This window comes from Homo sapiens, chromosome 5, assembly GCF_000001405.40.
Source record: "Homo sapiens chromosome 5, GRCh38.p14 Primary Assembly".
In the NCBI taxonomy this organism is placed as follows: Eukaryota; Metazoa; Chordata; class Mammalia; order Primates; family Hominidae; genus Homo; species Homo sapiens.
The window spans coordinates 177615324-177633179 of NC_000005.10; the positions used below are offsets into that span (position 1 = coordinate 177615324).

General features: G+C 42.9%; 1 pseudogene across 1 annotated transcript in view; it reads right to left on the reverse strand.

Moving 5' to 3' along the window:
- Positions 1-3176: 3176 nt before the first annotated feature.
- Positions 3177-17856, reverse strand: part of SIMC1P1 (SIMC1 pseudogene 1) — a 53778-nt pseudogene continuing 39098 nt past the window's right edge. The window contains exons 2-6 of the transcript NR_026921.1: positions 16043-17415; positions 12059-12291; positions 11113-11182; positions 5150-5183; positions 3177-4066 (exon numbers count right to left, since the gene is read on the reverse strand). The product of NR_026921.1 is annotated as an SIMC1 pseudogene 1 (transcript). The remainder of the gene's footprint in view (positions 4067-5149; positions 5184-11112; positions 11183-12058; positions 12292-16042; positions 17416-17856) is intronic.

Sequence of the window (17856 nt, forward strand, 5' to 3'; positions counted from 1 at the left end):
ATTATAATTTATCTCCAACCACTACTTTCACTGCTTCCTATAAATTTTGATACATTGTATTTTCATTTTTATTTAGTTCAAAACATTTTAAAATTTCTGTTCAGACTTCTTCTTTGACCCATCTGGTATCTAGAAGTGTTTTGTTTAATCTCCAGTTATTTTGAGATTTCCCATCTACGTTTCTGTTTTTGATTTTGTTTAATTTCCTCTGAGAGCACACTTTATATGGTTTGTATTCTTTGAAATTTGTAAGGTGTATCTTAAGGCCAAGTATGTAGTCTATCTTGGTGGATGTTTCCTGTGAGCTTGAGAAGAATATGTACTCTGTTGAATGAAGTATACTGTAAATGTCAATTAGATTCAGTGGCTTGACAGTATTGTCCAGTTCAGCTATATCCTTACTGATTTTTTTGCCTGCTAAATGTGTCAATTACTGATAGAAGAGTGTTGAAGTCTCCAACTATAATAGTGGACTTGTCTATTTCTCTTGCAGTTCTATTAGTTTTTGCTTCACATACGTTGATGCTCTGTTGTTAGGTGCATACACATTAAGGATTTAACAATGTCTTCTTGGAGTATTGACCCTCTTATTATATAATGCCCCTCTTTATCCCTGATCATTTTTCTCCCTCTGAAGTTTGCCTTATCTGATATCAATACTGCTACTCCAGTTTTCTTTTGATTAGTATTAACATGGTATATCTTTCTTTATACCTTTATTTTTATGCTATTTGTGTCTTTATATTTAAAATGGGTTTTTTTACAGACAACATATCATTGGGTCTTTTTTTTTTAATCTACTGGCAGTCTTTGTGTTTTAGTTGGTATATTTAGCGCCATTCACATTTAAAGTGATTATTGAGATAGTTGGATTAATATCTACCATGTCTGCCGCTGTTTTCTAGCAGGTGCACTTGTCCTTGTTTTTCTTACCTTCCCTTCTTTTTCTGTCTTTTCTGGTTTAACTGAGAATTTTACATGATTCCACTCTTTTTACTTTCTAGCATTATAATTATACTTCTTTCAAAACATTTTAATTCATTGTCCTAGAGTTCGCAATATAGATTTGCAACTAATCAACATCCACTTTCAAATTGCACTTTACCACTTCATGGGCAGTGCAGCTGTCTTCTAGCAGAGTATTCCCAGTTCCTCTCTCCTCACCCTTGTAAGAGTGCTATTCTTGATTTCACCTATCCTTTACTATGGACCCCAACACAATGTTACTATTATTACTTTAGCCAGGCAGTTACCTACTAGATCAACTAAGAATAGGAAATGTAAAAGATTTTCTATTGTCTTCATGTACTCCTTTCCTGACAGTTCCTTTATGTGGATCTGAGTTTCTAACCTATATCTCTTCCCTTCTCCCTTAAGAGCTGCTTTTAACATGTTTTGTAGGGCAGATTGGCTGGCAATAACTCTCATTTTTTTGCTTGTCTGAGAAAGTATTTTTTTTTTTGTTTTGTTTTGAAACAGGGTCTTGACTGTCACCCAGGCTGCAGTGCAGTGGCCAAACATGGTTCACTGCAGCCTCGACCTCTCAGGCTCAAAGGATCCCACTTCAGCCTCCCAAGTAGCTGGGACTACAGGACCGTGCCACCACACTCAGCTAATTTTTAATTGTTTTGTAAAGTTGGGGTCTCACTATGTCACTCAGGCTTGTCTCAAACTCCTGGGCTCAAGCAATCTTCCTGCCTTGGCCTCTCAAAGTGCTGCGATTACAGGTGTGAGCCACCGTGCCTGGCCCTCAAAAAGTTTTTGTTTCTCTTTCATTCTTTTTGTGAGAGCAAAAAATTTCTATAACATGGATGTCACCATTTTTAAACCATCATAAAATCCACCATTCTGTAGCCTTTACATACACAATGTTTTCTTCACTTTTGAAGGATACTTTTGCTGGATATAGAAATCTAGGTTGATGGGGTTTTCTCTTTTTTTTTTTTTTTTTTGAGGCAGAGTCTTGCTCTGTCGCCCAAACTGGAGTGCAATGGCGCGATCTCGGCTCACTGCAAGCTCCACCTCCCGGGTTCAGGCCATTCTCCTGCCTCAGCCTCCCGAGTAGCTGGGACTACAGGCGTCTGCCACCACGCCTGGCTAATTTTTTTGTATTTTTAGTAGAGACGGGGTTTCACCGTGTTAGCCAGGATGGTCTTGAAATCCTGACCTCGTGATCCACCCACCTCGGCCTTCCAAAGTGCTGGGATTACAGGCATGAGCCACTGTGCCCAGCCAGTTTTCTCTTTCAACACTTTACATATTTCACCCTTTTCTCTTCTTGCTTGCGTGGTGTCTGACAAGAAGGCTGTAATTCTTATTCGTTTCCTGTATAAGTAAGCTGGGTTTTTTTCTATGGCTTCTTTCAAGATTTTGTGTTTGTCTCTGGTTTTCTACAGTTTGAATATGATATATGTAGGTGTTGATTTTTTTTTTTAAGTATGTATCCTATTTGGTGTTCTCTAAGCTTACTGGATCCGTGGCTTGGGGTCTGCCTTTACTTTTGGAAAATTGGGAGCCATTATAACTTTCACGATTTTTCTGCTCTGTTCTCCCTTTCTTCTCCTTGTGGTGTTTCAATTGTGCATATACCTTTTGAAAATATCCCACAGTTCTTGTATAATCTGTTTTTTTCCCCATTTTTTTCTTTGCATTACAGTTTGGGAAGGTTCTATTAACATACCTTCAGGCTGATTTTTTCCTCATCTATGTCCAGTCTACTGATGGTCCCATCAAATGCCTTCATCATCTCTGTTATAGTGTTTTCTCTTTCTCTTTCTTTCCTTCCTTTTTCTTTCCCTCCTTCCCTCCCTTCTTTCTTTCTTCCTTCTTTTGTTTGTTTTGTTGTTGTTGTTGTTGTTGTTTTAGACAGAGTCTTGCTCTGTTGTCCAGGCTGGAGTGAAGTGGCACCATCTCGGCTCACTGCATCCTCTGCCTCCCAGGTTCAAGTGATTCTCATGCCTCAGCCTCCACAGTAGTTGGGATTAGAGGTGTGCGCCACCATGCCCAGCTAATTTTTTATAGTTTTAATACAGACTGGACTTCACCATGTTGCCCAGGCTGGTCTTGAACTCCTGAGCTCAGGCAGTCCACCTGTCTCGGCCTCCCAAAGTGCTAAGATGGAGAAAGCTGCCATATAAAGAGTTATCTTAGGGGGACCAGGGCAAGATCTGAGGGATCAGTTAGTTGGCTATGCCCCTTGTCTGGGCAAGACACTGCAGTGGCTTGGGTGGGGGTGGTGGCAGGGGTGGTGGGGTGAAGAGCCTAGGTCTATTCTGAAGACAGGGTATCTATGAGGGGTCTCTGTTTCTACTCTTCCAGAGCACACCACCACCTGCAGCTGTCTCCTGCCTCCAGTGCATCAGAGTCTGGAGCGCGTTGCTTCTCTGGAGGGAGATAAAGACACAGTGGCTACCTGGGGAGATAAAACAGCACCAGCAGGAATCAGGGGTTCCAGAGAGGAGGGAACCTGGCCCTGGGCTATGTGTGTATCAGTTGTGATATGCATAATCATCTTTGGTCTTATTTTTTCCAAGTGACTGGAAAAGTTCATTTCTAGCTTACTTACCTCTGTTCCTTCCTTAAACTCCTCTAGCCTGGCTTTTGTCTCTGCCATTTCTACTAAAACCACTCTGCTCAAGGCTGTCATCAGTGTCTCCACTGCCCAGCCCTGGACTGTCAGAGCCACTCCGGGACATCTGCACCAGATGCATGAGTTTCCTGATACAGCGAAATCTCAGCAGGAGTTGACACCCACCTGCCTGGTGCTCTGGGATGAATTTCTGCACAGATGCAACCTCTGTGGGTGGAAGCCAGGATGAAGTATATGCATCTGTGAAGACTGGCCTTCCATCTGTTTTCTGATGCAACCAAAATGCTTCAGGGCTCGTCTTATCTGGAGGTTTGATGGCTACAGACGTGAGGGGCTTCCAGGTAGAGCTCAGACCTGAGACTTCTGGTCCCCTGTCTGGACATCTGTATGAAGACGGAGAAGCACCAGCCAACCTCTCCACAACCCTCACCAAGTTCTCATGGAACATCCTCTGATGGTCCCTCTCGGTGCTGGGTTCTGGCAGGAGAAAGAGAAGTCAGGGAACAGAAGAGCTGCTCTGCCAAAGTCATACCCTTCTTGGAGACACAGGGAACTCCATCTCTCATTCTCACTAGCAATTTGCTGTGGCAACTCAAATGTTTTTCCAGATGGAACATAAGCAGACGTGATGTGTTTGCCTTCCAGGTCTAACCCATGCAAAGCCTCCTGGGAACACACCTCACGCTATTTTCTATTCCATCAGGTGGATATGGATGATGATTAGGAACTAGGGTGAGGTGGAGCCAGAAAACACAAGGAGCCTGGATCCCTGAATGACCACATGGACATACACATGCTGAAGACTGCCTTGTAAGCAGGAAATAAACATCTACTGTATTGAACCTTTGCATGTAGGGACTATTTTTTATAGCAGCATAGCTTTACTCTGACTAATACAATCCTTGCACTCAAGAGTTTACGGTCGTTTTAAGGAGACAAGACTCAGTCACACAATTCTGCAACAATAGTAGGTGGCTCAGAAGAAGAAGGGGCTGTAGGGTTTAGACTTCCAGTTCTGAAGTCACAGGCTGCAGGCCCCTGGGTATGTGACTTTCCTATCTAATCCCTTTTCTGGAAAAATGGAGAAGAGTCAGATTGGGGGGAAGACTCTGTCAAAGGTTCATCAGTAGGGCTTGAAGCAAGTCTAGATGAGACCAATGATGTCAATTCTTAGAAAGGACAAAAGAAAATCGCCTCTAAATCCCTAAGAACTTTGGCTGCTACAGGGAGGGGATGGAGGCCAGAGTTTCCTAACTTCTCTCCTGGGACTCCCCAAACCTCAGAAGTTTCCTGGGGAGGAGCCCTGAACCTAGGTGTATGGGGATTTCATTATTCTAAGTGAAGTAACTCAGGGATGAAAAACCAAATGTATATTCTCACATATAAGTGGGAGCTCAGCTATGAGCATGCGAAGGCATAAGAATGATACAGTGGACTTTGGGGACTCAGGGGGAAGGGTGGGAAGTGGGCGAGGGATAAAAGACTGCACATTGGGTACAGTGTACACTGCTTGGGTGATGGGAGCCCCAAAATCTCAGTAATCACCACTGGAGAACTTACCTATGCACCCAAACACCACCTGTTCCCCCAAAACCTATAGAAATAAAAATAAATACATAAAAATAAAGATGTAAAAAACATTAAAAAACTATGAATTAAAAAAAAAGAAAGTTGGATCACCAGCTCTCTTAAAAATAGTAAGACCAGGTCTTGGAGGGCTGCATTCCAAGCAAGGGTGACGGTGGACACCTCCCTTCTATAATTCTCAGTTCCTGCCTGGCCGACTTCACTCATTAGGGCACTTACTTGGCTCTTGTAGACAGTTGAGTTTGAGATGTTTGGTGTAGAGAATGTTACCCCACAGTTGCCAGGAAGCAAATACAAATTTTGGTATCCAAGGGAGGTCCTGGAACCAGTCCACCCATGTAGTCAACCAAGGGATGACTGCATATCCTTTTAATGTGCTGTTGAATTTTAGTTTGTTAGTATTTTGTTGAGGATTTCTTCATCAACATTTATCAGGTATATTGGTTGGCAGTTTTATTGTAGTTTTTTACTTTTCCTTTTTTTTTTTTTTTGAGACAGAGTCTCGCTCTATCGCCCAGGGTGGAGTGCAGTGGCACCATCTTGGCTCACTGCAACCCCTGCCTCCCGGGTTCAGGCGATTCTCCTGCCTCAGCCTCCTCAGTAGTTGAGATTTCAGGTGCACGCCACCATACTCGGTTAATTTTTGTTATCTTTAGCAGAGATGGGGTTTCACCATGTTGGCCATGCTGGTCTTGAACTCCTGGCCTCAAGCAATCTGCCCACCTTGGCCTCCCAAAGTACTGGGATTGCAGGCATGAGCCACTGCACCCAGCTGCTTGTAGTTTTTTTGATCTGGCTTTGATATTAGGGTGTATCACGCTACTAATAAAGACATATCCTAGACTGGGTAATTTATAAAGGAAAAAGGTTTAGTTGACTTACAGTTCCACATGGCTGGGGAGGCCTCACAATCATGGCAAAAGGCGAATGAGGAGCAAAGTCACGTCTTACATGGCAGTAGGCAAGAGGCCTGTGTAGGGGAACTCCCCTTTATAAAACCATCAGATCTCATGAGATTTATTTACTATTATGAGAACATCACAGGAAAACCCGCCCCAGTGATTCAATTACCTCCCACCAGGTCCCTCCCATAACACGTGAGAATTATGGGAGCTACAATGCAAGATGAGATTTGGGTAGGCACACGGCCAAACCATATCACAGGGTAATGCTGGCCTCACAGAATAAGCTGAAATAAGTTATCTCTCCTCTGTTTTTTGGAAAAGTCTGAGGAGGATTGGTGTTAATTTTTATTTAAATGTTTGGCCAAATTTACTAGTGAAGCCACCTTGTTCTAGGCTTTTTTGTTGAAAGGTTTTTGATTACTGATTCTATCTCCTTACTAGCTATTGTTCTGTTCAGATTTTTTATTTCTTCACGAGTCAATCTTGGTAGGTTTCTAGGAATTACTCCATTTATTCTAGGTTATCCAGTTTATTGGGGGTATAATTGTTGGTAGTATTCTCTTTTAATCCTTTTTATTTCTGTGGCACTGGTTGTAATGCCCCCTCTTTCATTTCAGATTTTAGTAATTTTTAAAAATTCTATCACTGAGCTATCAATGCTGTTTTTAGTAATTTGAATCTTCTCTCTTTTTTAATCTAGTTAAGAGTTTGTTAGTTTTGATCTTTTCAAAAACCCAACTCTGTGGCTGGGTGCAGTGGCTCATGTCTGTAATCCTAGCACTCTGGGAGGCAAAGGTGGGAGGATCACTTGAGGCCAAGAGTTCAAGACCAGCCTGGGCAACTTAGCTAGATTCCCACCTCTACAAAAAATAATAAAAAAATTAGCTGAGTATGGTGACGCATGCTTGTTTTCCCAGCTACTTGAGAGGCTGAGGCTGGAGGATAGCTTGAGCCCAGGAGTTCAAGGTTTCAGTAAGCTATAATTGTGCTAGTGAGCTCCAGCCTGGGTGACAGAGTGAGACTCTGCCTCAAAACAGACAAATGAAATGTTTAAAAACCCCATATCTTAATTTTGTTCATTTTTTCCCTATTCTCCATTTATCTCTGCTCTAATCTTTACTATTACCTTCCTCTGCTAACTTTGGGTTCAGTTTCTTCTTTTCCTACTTTAGATATAGTCAGGTTGTTGGTTTGAGAGCTTTCTTCTTTTTTAATGCAAGCATTTATTTACATCTGTAACTTCTTAGTGCTGCTTTTGCTGCATCCATAAGTTTTTGTATGTTGTATTTCCATTTTAATTTGTCTCAAGGTATTTTAAAATTTCCCATGAGATTTTTTTTCTCTGAGCCATTGTTGTGTGTTGTTTAGTTGCCACATATTTGTGGGTTTTCCAGATTTCATCCTGCTATTGATTTCTGGTTTCATCCCATTGTGATTGGAAGATACTTGGTAGAATGTCAATGTTTTTATATTTTAAGTCTTGTTTTGTGGCCCAACATGTCGTCTATCTGGAGAAAATTCCATGTACACTTGAGAAGAATGTGGGTTCTGCTGTTGTTGGGTGGAATGTTCTGTGTATGTCTATGGTTAAGTGGCCTATAGTATTGTTCGAGTGCTCTGTTTCCTTATTGATTTTCTGTCTGGTTATTTTATCCATTATTGAAAGTGGGGTATTGAATCTCCTACTATTATTGTGTTGTCTATTTCTTCTTTCAATTCTGTCAGTGTTTGCTTTATATATTTAGGAAGTCTGATGTTTAGTGCATATATATTTGTAATTGTTATACCTCCTTGGTGAATTGACCCTTTTATTATATAATGTCCTTCTTTGCCACTTGTAACAGTTTTTATGTCTTTTTGTCTTATATTAGTATAGCCACCCTTGCTCTCTTTGGATTACCATTTGTGAGGAATATCTTTTCTCATCCTTTTACTTTCAGCAAGTCTTTATTTCTTTTTTTTTTTTTAGAGACAGGGTCTTGCTCTGTCACCCAACTGGAGTGCAGTGGCACTATGATAGCCTACTGCAGCCTAGAATTCCTGGGCTCACGGGATCCTCCCACCTCAACCTCCACAGTAGCTGGGACAACAGGTGTGTGTTACTATGCCTACTAATTAAAAAACTTTTTTAGAGACAAGAGTCTTTCTATGTTGTCTAGGCTGGTCCTGAACTCCTGACTTCAAGCAATCCTTCTACATTGGTCTCCCAAAGTGCTGGAATTACAGGCATGAGCCATTGCACCTGGCCACAAGAGTTTGGTATTTGAAAAGATATAAAGTGAGACTCTTGTAGATGGCATATAGTTGGATCCTGGTTTTTACTCCATTCAGCTAATCTCTGTCTTTTAATTGGGGACTTTAATCTATTTGCATTTAAAATAATTACTGATAGGGAAGAATTACTATGGCCATATTAATTATTTCCTATATGTCTTGTAGCCTTTTCAGGCCTCCTTTCCTTTGCCTTCCTTCATTTTTCATTGATTTTTTTTGTAGTGACATGCTTTGATTTCTTTCCCATTTCCTTTTGGGTATATTCTATAGATACCTTACTTGAAGTTACCAATGAGATCACATAACATATCTTAAAGTTATAACAATCTAGTTTAACAACTTCAGTTGCATACAAAAACCTCTACTTCTTTACTACTCCACTGCAATTTATATTATCAATGTCTTAAGTTAGATCTTTATATACTGTATACCCATAACTTGTTTTATTTTTTGAGACAGAGTCTTGCTCTGTTGCCCAAACTGGAGTGCAGTGGCATGATTTTGGCTCACTGCAACCTCCACCTTCTGGGTTCAAGCAATTCTTGTGCCCGAGTAGCTGAGACTGCAGGCGTGCACCACCACACCCAGCTAATGTTTATATTTTTAGTAGAGATAGGGTTTCACCATGTTGGCTGAGCTGGCCTCGAACTCCCGACGACCTCAGGTGATATTCCCATCTCAGCCTCCCACTCCAGGACAGGTGTGGTGGCTCACGCCTGTAATCCCAGCACCTTGGGAGGCCGAGGTGGGCGGCCAGGCACCCCCCAGACAAGTCAGTACATTGCATGCATGGTCCACTCTTTGTTTCTGGCCCAAGGGAAGAGCCAAGGTATGGGAGGTTTTCTCCTAGTTGAACTATGCTTTGCAGGGGAGGGAGAGGGATGTTGGCGCGCAAAATGCCACAAACTTTCCTAGCACTTTTGATAGATTATGTTCTTGGTTAGGCATTGGCCTGGGCACTGAAGCTTCTTAATTCGGCTCTAGAGTTCTCACAGTGATATTCTGGTCTGTATATGGTTGTTAATTCGGTGTCTCCATGGGGTAACAAGGGCCTGGAGCTTCCTAGTCTACCATTTTGCTGATGTCTCCCAGATTGTTCCTACTTAAAGCCCTCTGTTATTTCACTCCTATCTGGACTAACTGCTTCCTAGGTGTGCTATTCATTGTAATCTTGGGACTTCAATACTCTCCTGGATTAAATCTGATGTTGCCTGAATCCCATGCCTCCCCCCTTTTTTTGATTACTTCCTCATTCCTTTGATATACTACCTCAGGTAACCTCCTAAGAAACAGGGTATGGGGATATATTTTCAAATTCCTGCATAGCTGGAAATGTCTTAATTCTATCCTCACACTTAACTGATAGTTTGGCTAAGTACAGAATTCTAAGTAATTTGTTTTAGCCAATTGCTTTAGGTGAGCAGACAAAAAGTTGGCAATTAAACTTGGGGATCCTTAAAGGTCAGAATGTGGAAGACCTTCTTCCTGTGTAGCACCAACTCTGCACTAGCTGTCTTTGTTTTGTTTATTACAGACGGTTCATTCAATGTTTTTTTGTTTGTTTGTTTGTTTTTTTGAGACAGAGTTTCACTCTTGCTGCCCAGGCTGGAGTGCAATGGCATGATCTGGGCTCACTGCAACCTCCACCTCCCGGGTTCAAGTGATTCTCCTGCCTCAGCCTCCCGAGTAGCTGGGATTACAGGCATGTGCCACCACACCCAGCTAATTTTGTATTTTTTCGTAGAGACGGAGTTTCTCCATGTTGGGCAGGCTGGTCTCAAATTCCCGACCTCAGGTGATCTGCCCGTCTTGGCCTCCCAAAGTGCTGGGATTACAGGCATGAGCCACCGCGCCTGGCCTCATTCAACTTTTTTAGACAATAAATTCTCTGACTTTTTGCCTGAAGGTAGGTAACCTGGCTACTGATCCTTCTGCCCTCAGCAAAGAAGAGGTTGGCTGTTGCATTCACAAACTTTCAATAAATATCCAATAGCCCACATCTGACTCTTGCCCTCTATTAGATATTGTGTTTCTAAGTCCAAGACCTCTCTGGTGCTCTAAAGTGAAGATTCATCCTTCCTTGGCTGTAGCCTCTTTACATGTATGTGGCTTTCTCTGCCCGGCTCATCAGTCATCACTCTTACATTCTCTGTAGGTCTCCCTAATCTTCATTCAAATCTACTATCCTTCCCCTTTTTTCATAGCCATGAATTTATAACTTTCTCTATTCATTTACTATTATTTTTAATGGGATCTCAAGGAGAGGGATAAGTAAATATACTAAATCTTGAATTGGAAGATAGCACATACCATTTCAATAGGAATTTTTTGGCAGGGGTGGGAGTATCAGGAGGGAATAATGGTGTAGACTTTATTACCAGATTTACTGTCACTTTTCTTTTTTCTTTTAAGACAGGGTCTTGCTCTGTCACCGAGGCTGGAGTACAGTGTTGTGATCATGGATCACTATAGCCTTGACCTCCTAGGCTCAAGCAATCCTCCTGCCTCAGCCTTCTGTGTAGCTGGGACCACAGGCATGCATCACTATGCCTGGCTAAATATTTTATTTTTATTTTTGTAGAGACAGGGTCTCACTTTGTTGCCCAGGCTGGCCTTAAACTCCTGGGCTCAAACTGTCCTACTGCCTCGGCCTCTGAAAATGCTGGGATTACAGGTGTGAGCCATGGCACCTGGTATCACTTTTCTTTATAGTTAAAACTTCCCCTACAGAAGATATAATCTTATAATTGTTGTTACCTCTTCCTCCATGACATAGGTGAGCAGTTTCCAGTCCCACTCCACTGTCTTGGCATTGGCTGGATGTAGCCTGAAAGTCAAGTGAAATCAATTAGAATTATGGAGAATTTAGCGGAAGAAGGGATAGGATCTGAAGGTGATAGAAGGAAGAAGCCTCTTCTTATCCTCCATTATCCTCCATGCTCTTGCTCATCTTCTGGTATCATACCATGTCAATCTGAGAGTAGTGGAACTTCACTGTTTTTTGCTATCCAGTATCCACTCCCCTTTTGGAAAGCTTCAGTACTATAATTTTGTCTGAAGAAACCAACTCTTCACTACTCTTAACCAACTAGTTTTACCTACCAGAACCCCAAAATGAAGCATGTGGCTTTTTTAGCCAATCGTGCTGTTCTAAGCCTCAATTCATGGTGATTGGCTCAAAGATATGGTCATGTCTCTCATTAGGCCAATTAAATTCTGCAAGACTCAATTTCAGAACTCTTGGGTGACTACAAAGGAAAGACACTCTCTCCCACTGGAAGTGTCATAAAAGCCTGAGGCTGAGAGGCTACCACATGCAGCCCCAAAACAGAACTGAGGCTGAGAGGCTACCACATGCGGCCCCAAAACAGAACTGAGGCTGAGAGGCTACCTCAGGCGGCCCCAAAACAGAACCAAAGTAGAGCTGCAGAATGAACCCTGGTAACCATTTTTGTATGCTGAATCAAGTCACATCTCACTCCTCGGTTTCTACGTTTCTAGTAACACAAGCCATTAAATTCTCTTTTAGCAGTAGTTAAGGTCTGTTTGGACTGGGTTTCCTATCATTTGCAATTCAAATAACACTAATATACTAAGTCACCCACTGTAACGGTTAGGTTAAAAAAGCCTGTCAAGAGAAAGCTATGCCCTGAGTCCAAGATCCCTAGAAGATTCGCCAACAGCCAGAGGTTACGGTTCATACCGTTGAATTTTCATGAGAAGCATGTAGGCCTCCTTTAGGACATCCACAGTCTCAGAGCCACTGAGCAAGATTTTCTGGATGATGTGAGCCACGATTTCTCTTGGTGGGTAATGCTGGGGTGACACAAAGTCCATCAAAAACTGCACAGTCCCCAGGGGAAAATTCTCTTCAATGGTATTTGTTACCATTCTTAGTCTTCGATGAGGGATGGGTTCTAATTTTTGACCCTTGTTCTGTAGAGATTAAAAAGATGGAAATTAGGAGGGATTTTTTTTTTTTTTTTTTGAGATGGAGTCTCGCTCTGTCCCCCAGGCTGGAATACAGTGGCGCGATCTCGGCTCACTGCAAGCTCCGCCTCCCGAGTTCACGCCATTCTCCTGCCTCAGCCTTCAGAGTAGCTGGGACTACAGGCGCCTGCCACCACGCCCGGATAATTTTCTTTTGTATTTTTAGTAGAGACAGGGTTTCACCATGTTAGCCAGGATGGTCTCGATCTCCTGACCTTGTGATCTGCCCGTCTCAGCCTCCCAAAGTGCTGGGATTACAGGCCCATGCCCAGCCGGGATTTCTATGGTATACAAAAATAAGAGGTTCTAGAATAGGTTGAAGATAGCAAAGTTTTCCAGGCATTTGCAATATTTCATGATTAAAAAAAAAAAAAAAGAGGATGGGTGCAGTGGCTCACGCCTGTAATCCCAGCACTTTGGGAGGCCAAGGCAGGCGAACTGCTTGAGGTCAGGAGTTCGAGAGCAGCCTGGCCAACATGGTGAAACCCCGTCTCCAATAAAAATATAAAAATTAGCCAGAAGTGGTGGCACGCATCTGTAGTCCCAGCTACTTGAAGGCTGAGACATGAGAACTGCTTAAACCCAGAAGGTGGAGACTGCAGTGAACCGAGATGGCACCACTGCACTCCAGCCCAGGTGACAGAGCGAGACTCCAAATCAAAACAGACAAAAAAGAGCTTTATCTAAAAAACTTTTAATGACATGGGAAAAAGCTCATATAAAGTTAAAAAATCAGAATTCAAAATTGTACATATAACATGATTTCATCTATGTTAAAATATAGCATAGACAGAAAAATACAAAAGGGTCAAGAGGTAGCCTAGGATGATTTTGGGGTGAGGGTAACTAGAGACTTAGGGATAGCTGTGATACTATATCAGATACTGAAATAGATAAGAAAGAAGTTTTAAATTCATTTTGTTGTTAGGAGAAGAATTCCATTTTATTTTTTGTGAGAACAGTAAATATTAAGTTGCTTCTTCCCCCAAAAAATATGTATATAAAGACTGCGAGAGAATATGTGAAAAGTGATTTTCTATTATGTGGGTGGTAGAATTAGGGGTGATTTTTTCTCTATGTGCTCTTCTATATTTTTCAATTTTTCCATAATACATTACTTTTATAATTAGAATTAAACAATTTTAAAGTTTGATATGAGGGTTTAATAACAATAAATTTGGAGCTCTTAATTTTTTTTTTTTTTTTTTGAGATAAAGTCTGGCTCTGTCACCGAGGCTGGACCACAGTGGCATGATCATGGCTCACTGCAACCTCTGCCTCCCAGGCTCAAGCCATCCTCCCACCTCAGCCTCCCAAGTAGCTGGGACTACAGGCGTGTGCCACCACGCTTGGCTAATTTTTTTTGTATTTTTAGTAGAGACGGGGTTTTACCATGTTGCCCAGGCTGGTCTCGAACTTGTGAACTCAAGTGATCAAGCCTGTCGTGGCTTCCCAAAGTGCTGAGATTACAGGTGTGAGCCATCATGTCTGGCCTTAAACAATTAATTTTTTTTTTTTTTTTTTTGAGATGGAGTCTCCCTCTGTTGCCCAGGCTGGAGTGCAGTGGCGCGATCCTGGCTCACTGCAAGTTCCGCCTCCCGGGTTCACGCCATTCTCCTGCCTCAGCCTCCAGAGTAGCTAGGATACAGGTGTGTGCCACCATATTCAGCTAATTTTTGAATTTTTTATATAGGGGGTTGCACCATGTTGCCTAGGCTGGTCTCAAACTCCTGGGCTCAAGCAATCCACCTACCATGGCCTCCCAAAATGCTGGGGTTATAGGCGTGAGCCACCGCGCCCAGCACTGAATACTTAATTGATCCTCAACTAGTTCTTACAATAATCTTAGGAAATACATACTATTATTATTCCTATTTTATAAACAAAGAAACTGAGATTTGGAGGGTAAGCATTTGTCATACAACAAATGGCAGAAGCTGGTTTCAAACACACGTGGCATAAACTTCAGAGCCATCCTCTCAGCCCCTACTCCCCATAAACATCAAAAATAATAAGTGTATATGTTAAAAATCCCAATTATTAAAGTATGTAAAATGCCTATGTATAAAAAAGGCAACTGGGAAGGAAATACATCAAATTATTCACAATAATAAATGCTGTCTGGGCTGGGCGCGGTGGCTCACGCCTGTAATCTCAGAACTTTGGGAGGCCAAGGTGGGCGGATCACTTGAGGTCAGGAGTTCAAGACAAGCCTGGACAACATGGTGAAACCCTGTCTCTACTAGTAAAGTACAAAAAGTTAACCGGAAGTGGTGGTGGGCGCCTGTAACCCAGCTACGCGGGAGGCTGTGGCAGGAGAATCGCTTGAACCTGGGAGGCGGAGGTTGCAGTGAGTGAGCTGAGATCGTACTACTGTACTCCAGCCTGGGTGACAGGGTGAGACTCTGTCTCAAAAAAAAAGAATGAGCTAGTGGTCAGGCAGAGGCATAAAGAAGGAGAAGACATACAACATATTAGAAGATGTAATAATTTTAAAAAAGAGAAAAAAAATCATTCTCCAAGGTCAAATCAGTGTGAATCCTTGGCTCCTGCCTACCTGGATCACTGCTTGAATGAGGAGAGCATACCTTTTGACACTGAACTGTTTCAAGCTGGTTTTTCTTAATATGGGGGATGGGATGTACATAACTAAAAAACACTTCATACTGTGGAACTTAGCCACAGTTATTTTCCCTGACACATCTAGTTTACTTCTCATAAATCAATGATGACCAATGGAAAGTGCATTCCCACTCATGTCTTAAAACTGAATTTCCTCCCCCAAAGTCAGCAAGTAATAATTTTGGAGGCCCTTAAGTGATACAGTATTATTATCTCTGTGATATGGAAGCTGTAAAAGGGCACCAGGAAGGGAAAAGCATAGGAGTTGAAGATAAAAATGTATTTATTTTTTTGAGACAGAGTCTTGCTCTGTGGCCAAGGCTGGAGTGCAGTGGTGCAGTCTCAGCTCACTGCAACCTCCGCCTCCCAGATTCAGGTGATTCTCCTGCCTCAGCCTCCTGAGTAGCTGGGATTACAGGTGCATGCCACCACATCCAGCTAGAAGATAAGAATTTACATAAGCCTACGATGAGCCTGACACCCTGACACTTTCATGTATGACCCTGTGAGGTATGTTATTACTTCCATTTTACAGATAGGAAAGCTAAGGCTCAAAAAGGTAAAGTACCCTGCTGGGCGCGGTGGCTCATGCCTGTAATCCCAGCATTTTGGGAGGCTGAGGCGTGTGGATCACGAGATCAGGAGATCGAGACTGGCCTGGCCAACATGGTGAAATCCTGTCTCTACTAAAAATACAAAAAATTAGCCGGGCGTGGCAGCATGCGCCTGTAGTCCCAGCTACTAAGGAGGCTGAGGTAGGAGAAACTCTTGAACCTGGGAGGCAGAGGTTGCAGTGAGCCAAGATTGTGCCACTGCACTCTAGCCTGGGAGACAGAGCAAGACTCGGTCTCAAAAAAAAAAAAAAAAAAAAGTAAAGTGACAGTTTTTAAGCGTGGGGCTAAAATTTGAACCCAGATCTGGGCCTCTACACTGAATGGGTCTTCACAAGTGGAGGAAAGATAAGAAATTTCATTTATGCTTGACCTGTCCTCTCACGCATGGACTCCAGTCACACTGACCTTCTCCTAGGCCTAGGGAAAGGACACCTAATCCCTGAGGGAAGATGTTAGCTCACCTCTCGTGTCTTTATCCGGTATTAGCGTCTGAAAGAACAGATGATGAACCGGAGGTCGTAAGAAGTACTTCAGTCTATGCAGGCATGGTCTGTTGTACAACCCACCTTGTGGTGTTCGTGATTGTACGTGGGCAGACCCAGGTTTGGCAGGCTCTGACAGTGATATTTCTTTTCTGGCTGGGGTTTCCATGACAGAGAGCCAAGGAACTTTCTCTAAGGGAGTTTCAGACTGTGGGCTGGGAGAGCAGCTTGGAGGGGACGCAGCTGAGATATCCATAGGCATGTCACAGTTCTGTACATCATTCTGGGTAAAGTCAGGCCTGTCTCCTGGTAAGTGAGGGATGTCTCTAGGTGAGTGTGTCACGTCCCCTGATGAGTGTGGCATGTCTCCAGGTGAATGTAACACATCTCCCGGTAAGTGTGGCATGCCCCCTGGTGACTGTGGTGCATCTGGTGACGGTGAAACATAACTTGGTGACTGTGGCACATCTCCTGGTGACCCTAGCATGTCTCCTGTTGACTGTGGCACATCTGGTGATGGTGGCATGGTTCCTGGTGACCGTGGCACATCTCCTGGTGACTGTGGCATGTCTTGCAGGTATGCCACATCTTGTGGATGTAATATGCTTTGAGGCGGGCCTGGCACATCTTGAGGTAGGCCCAGAGAGTCTTGAGGTGGGCTTGGTGAGTGTTGAGGATGCCATAACGAGTCTTGAGGTGGGCTTGGGATATTCTGCCGAGGGCATGGCACTTCTTGAGGTGGTTGAGTTAGAGCTGGTAGTTTGCACTGCATGGTTTGTGATGGGCATGACAAGGCTCGTGGTGGACAAGGTGAGGCTCTCAGTGGGCAAGGCAAGGCTTGTGGTGGGCGAGACACATCTTGCTGTGGGCATGGCAAGGGTACTTTTTGATTGCTGCTGCTGCTGCTACTATTATTGCTTGTTGGGGAGAGGGAGCTAACATCTGAAGACAGCTGTAGACTTGCCAAGAAGCTGAGGTTACCTGTGAATGTGGCTGAGCTACAATTAGGCTCTGTTGGATAAACAGAGCCTCCACTGATGGATGTAGCGGGTGGGGGACCTACAAAGGTGTTTTCTTCCACTAGGTCCAAATCTACAGGATCACTGTTAATGAGTCTCCGTGCTGTAGGCTGAGAGCTTCTGTCCACCTGCCCTTCCATCACCGCTTTGCCAGAGAGGCTGGCACATGTCTGAAGACTGGTTGGCTCCCTCTGGGAAGGAGTGACAGGTTCTAAAGTTAAGTCAAGAGTGGCAATAGGTCTATTTTCTCCCTCAGCTCTTGTCAGGTCAATCACACAGTCCACTGCGATCTTTTGTCCTTGGTCTGATCTCTCTAGTTAAGTCAATGAAGTCCTGTTGAAGGATTGTGTGAATAGAAGAGGTCAAGATGGGAGTATTAGCTTTATCTGAGACGATTTAAGTCTTAGCTTTTAAGGATAAGCATTACTTTGCCATTTCACCTTACTGATAAGTTACACATCTTGTATAACATAAGCAATAATATTGCCAAAGCTGTCAATTTCTATACCTTCTTAAATTCTCCAAATGCCACATAAGCATGACTAGGATCATAGTGGGATTTTTTTTTTTTTCTGGTCCAAGGAGGACAGGGGAGTAGTAGGAGATATTCCAACCTTAAGTCACAAAGTCAAAAGCAACCTTTGTTTGGAAGGTCAAATACACAGGATAACCTACAACAAAAGCTACATTTTAAGAAGTGAAGCAAATGTAAGAGAATCTATGTGCTAAGAACATGCTGAGTATTTTCACGTATCTTTAATTTTCACAATGACC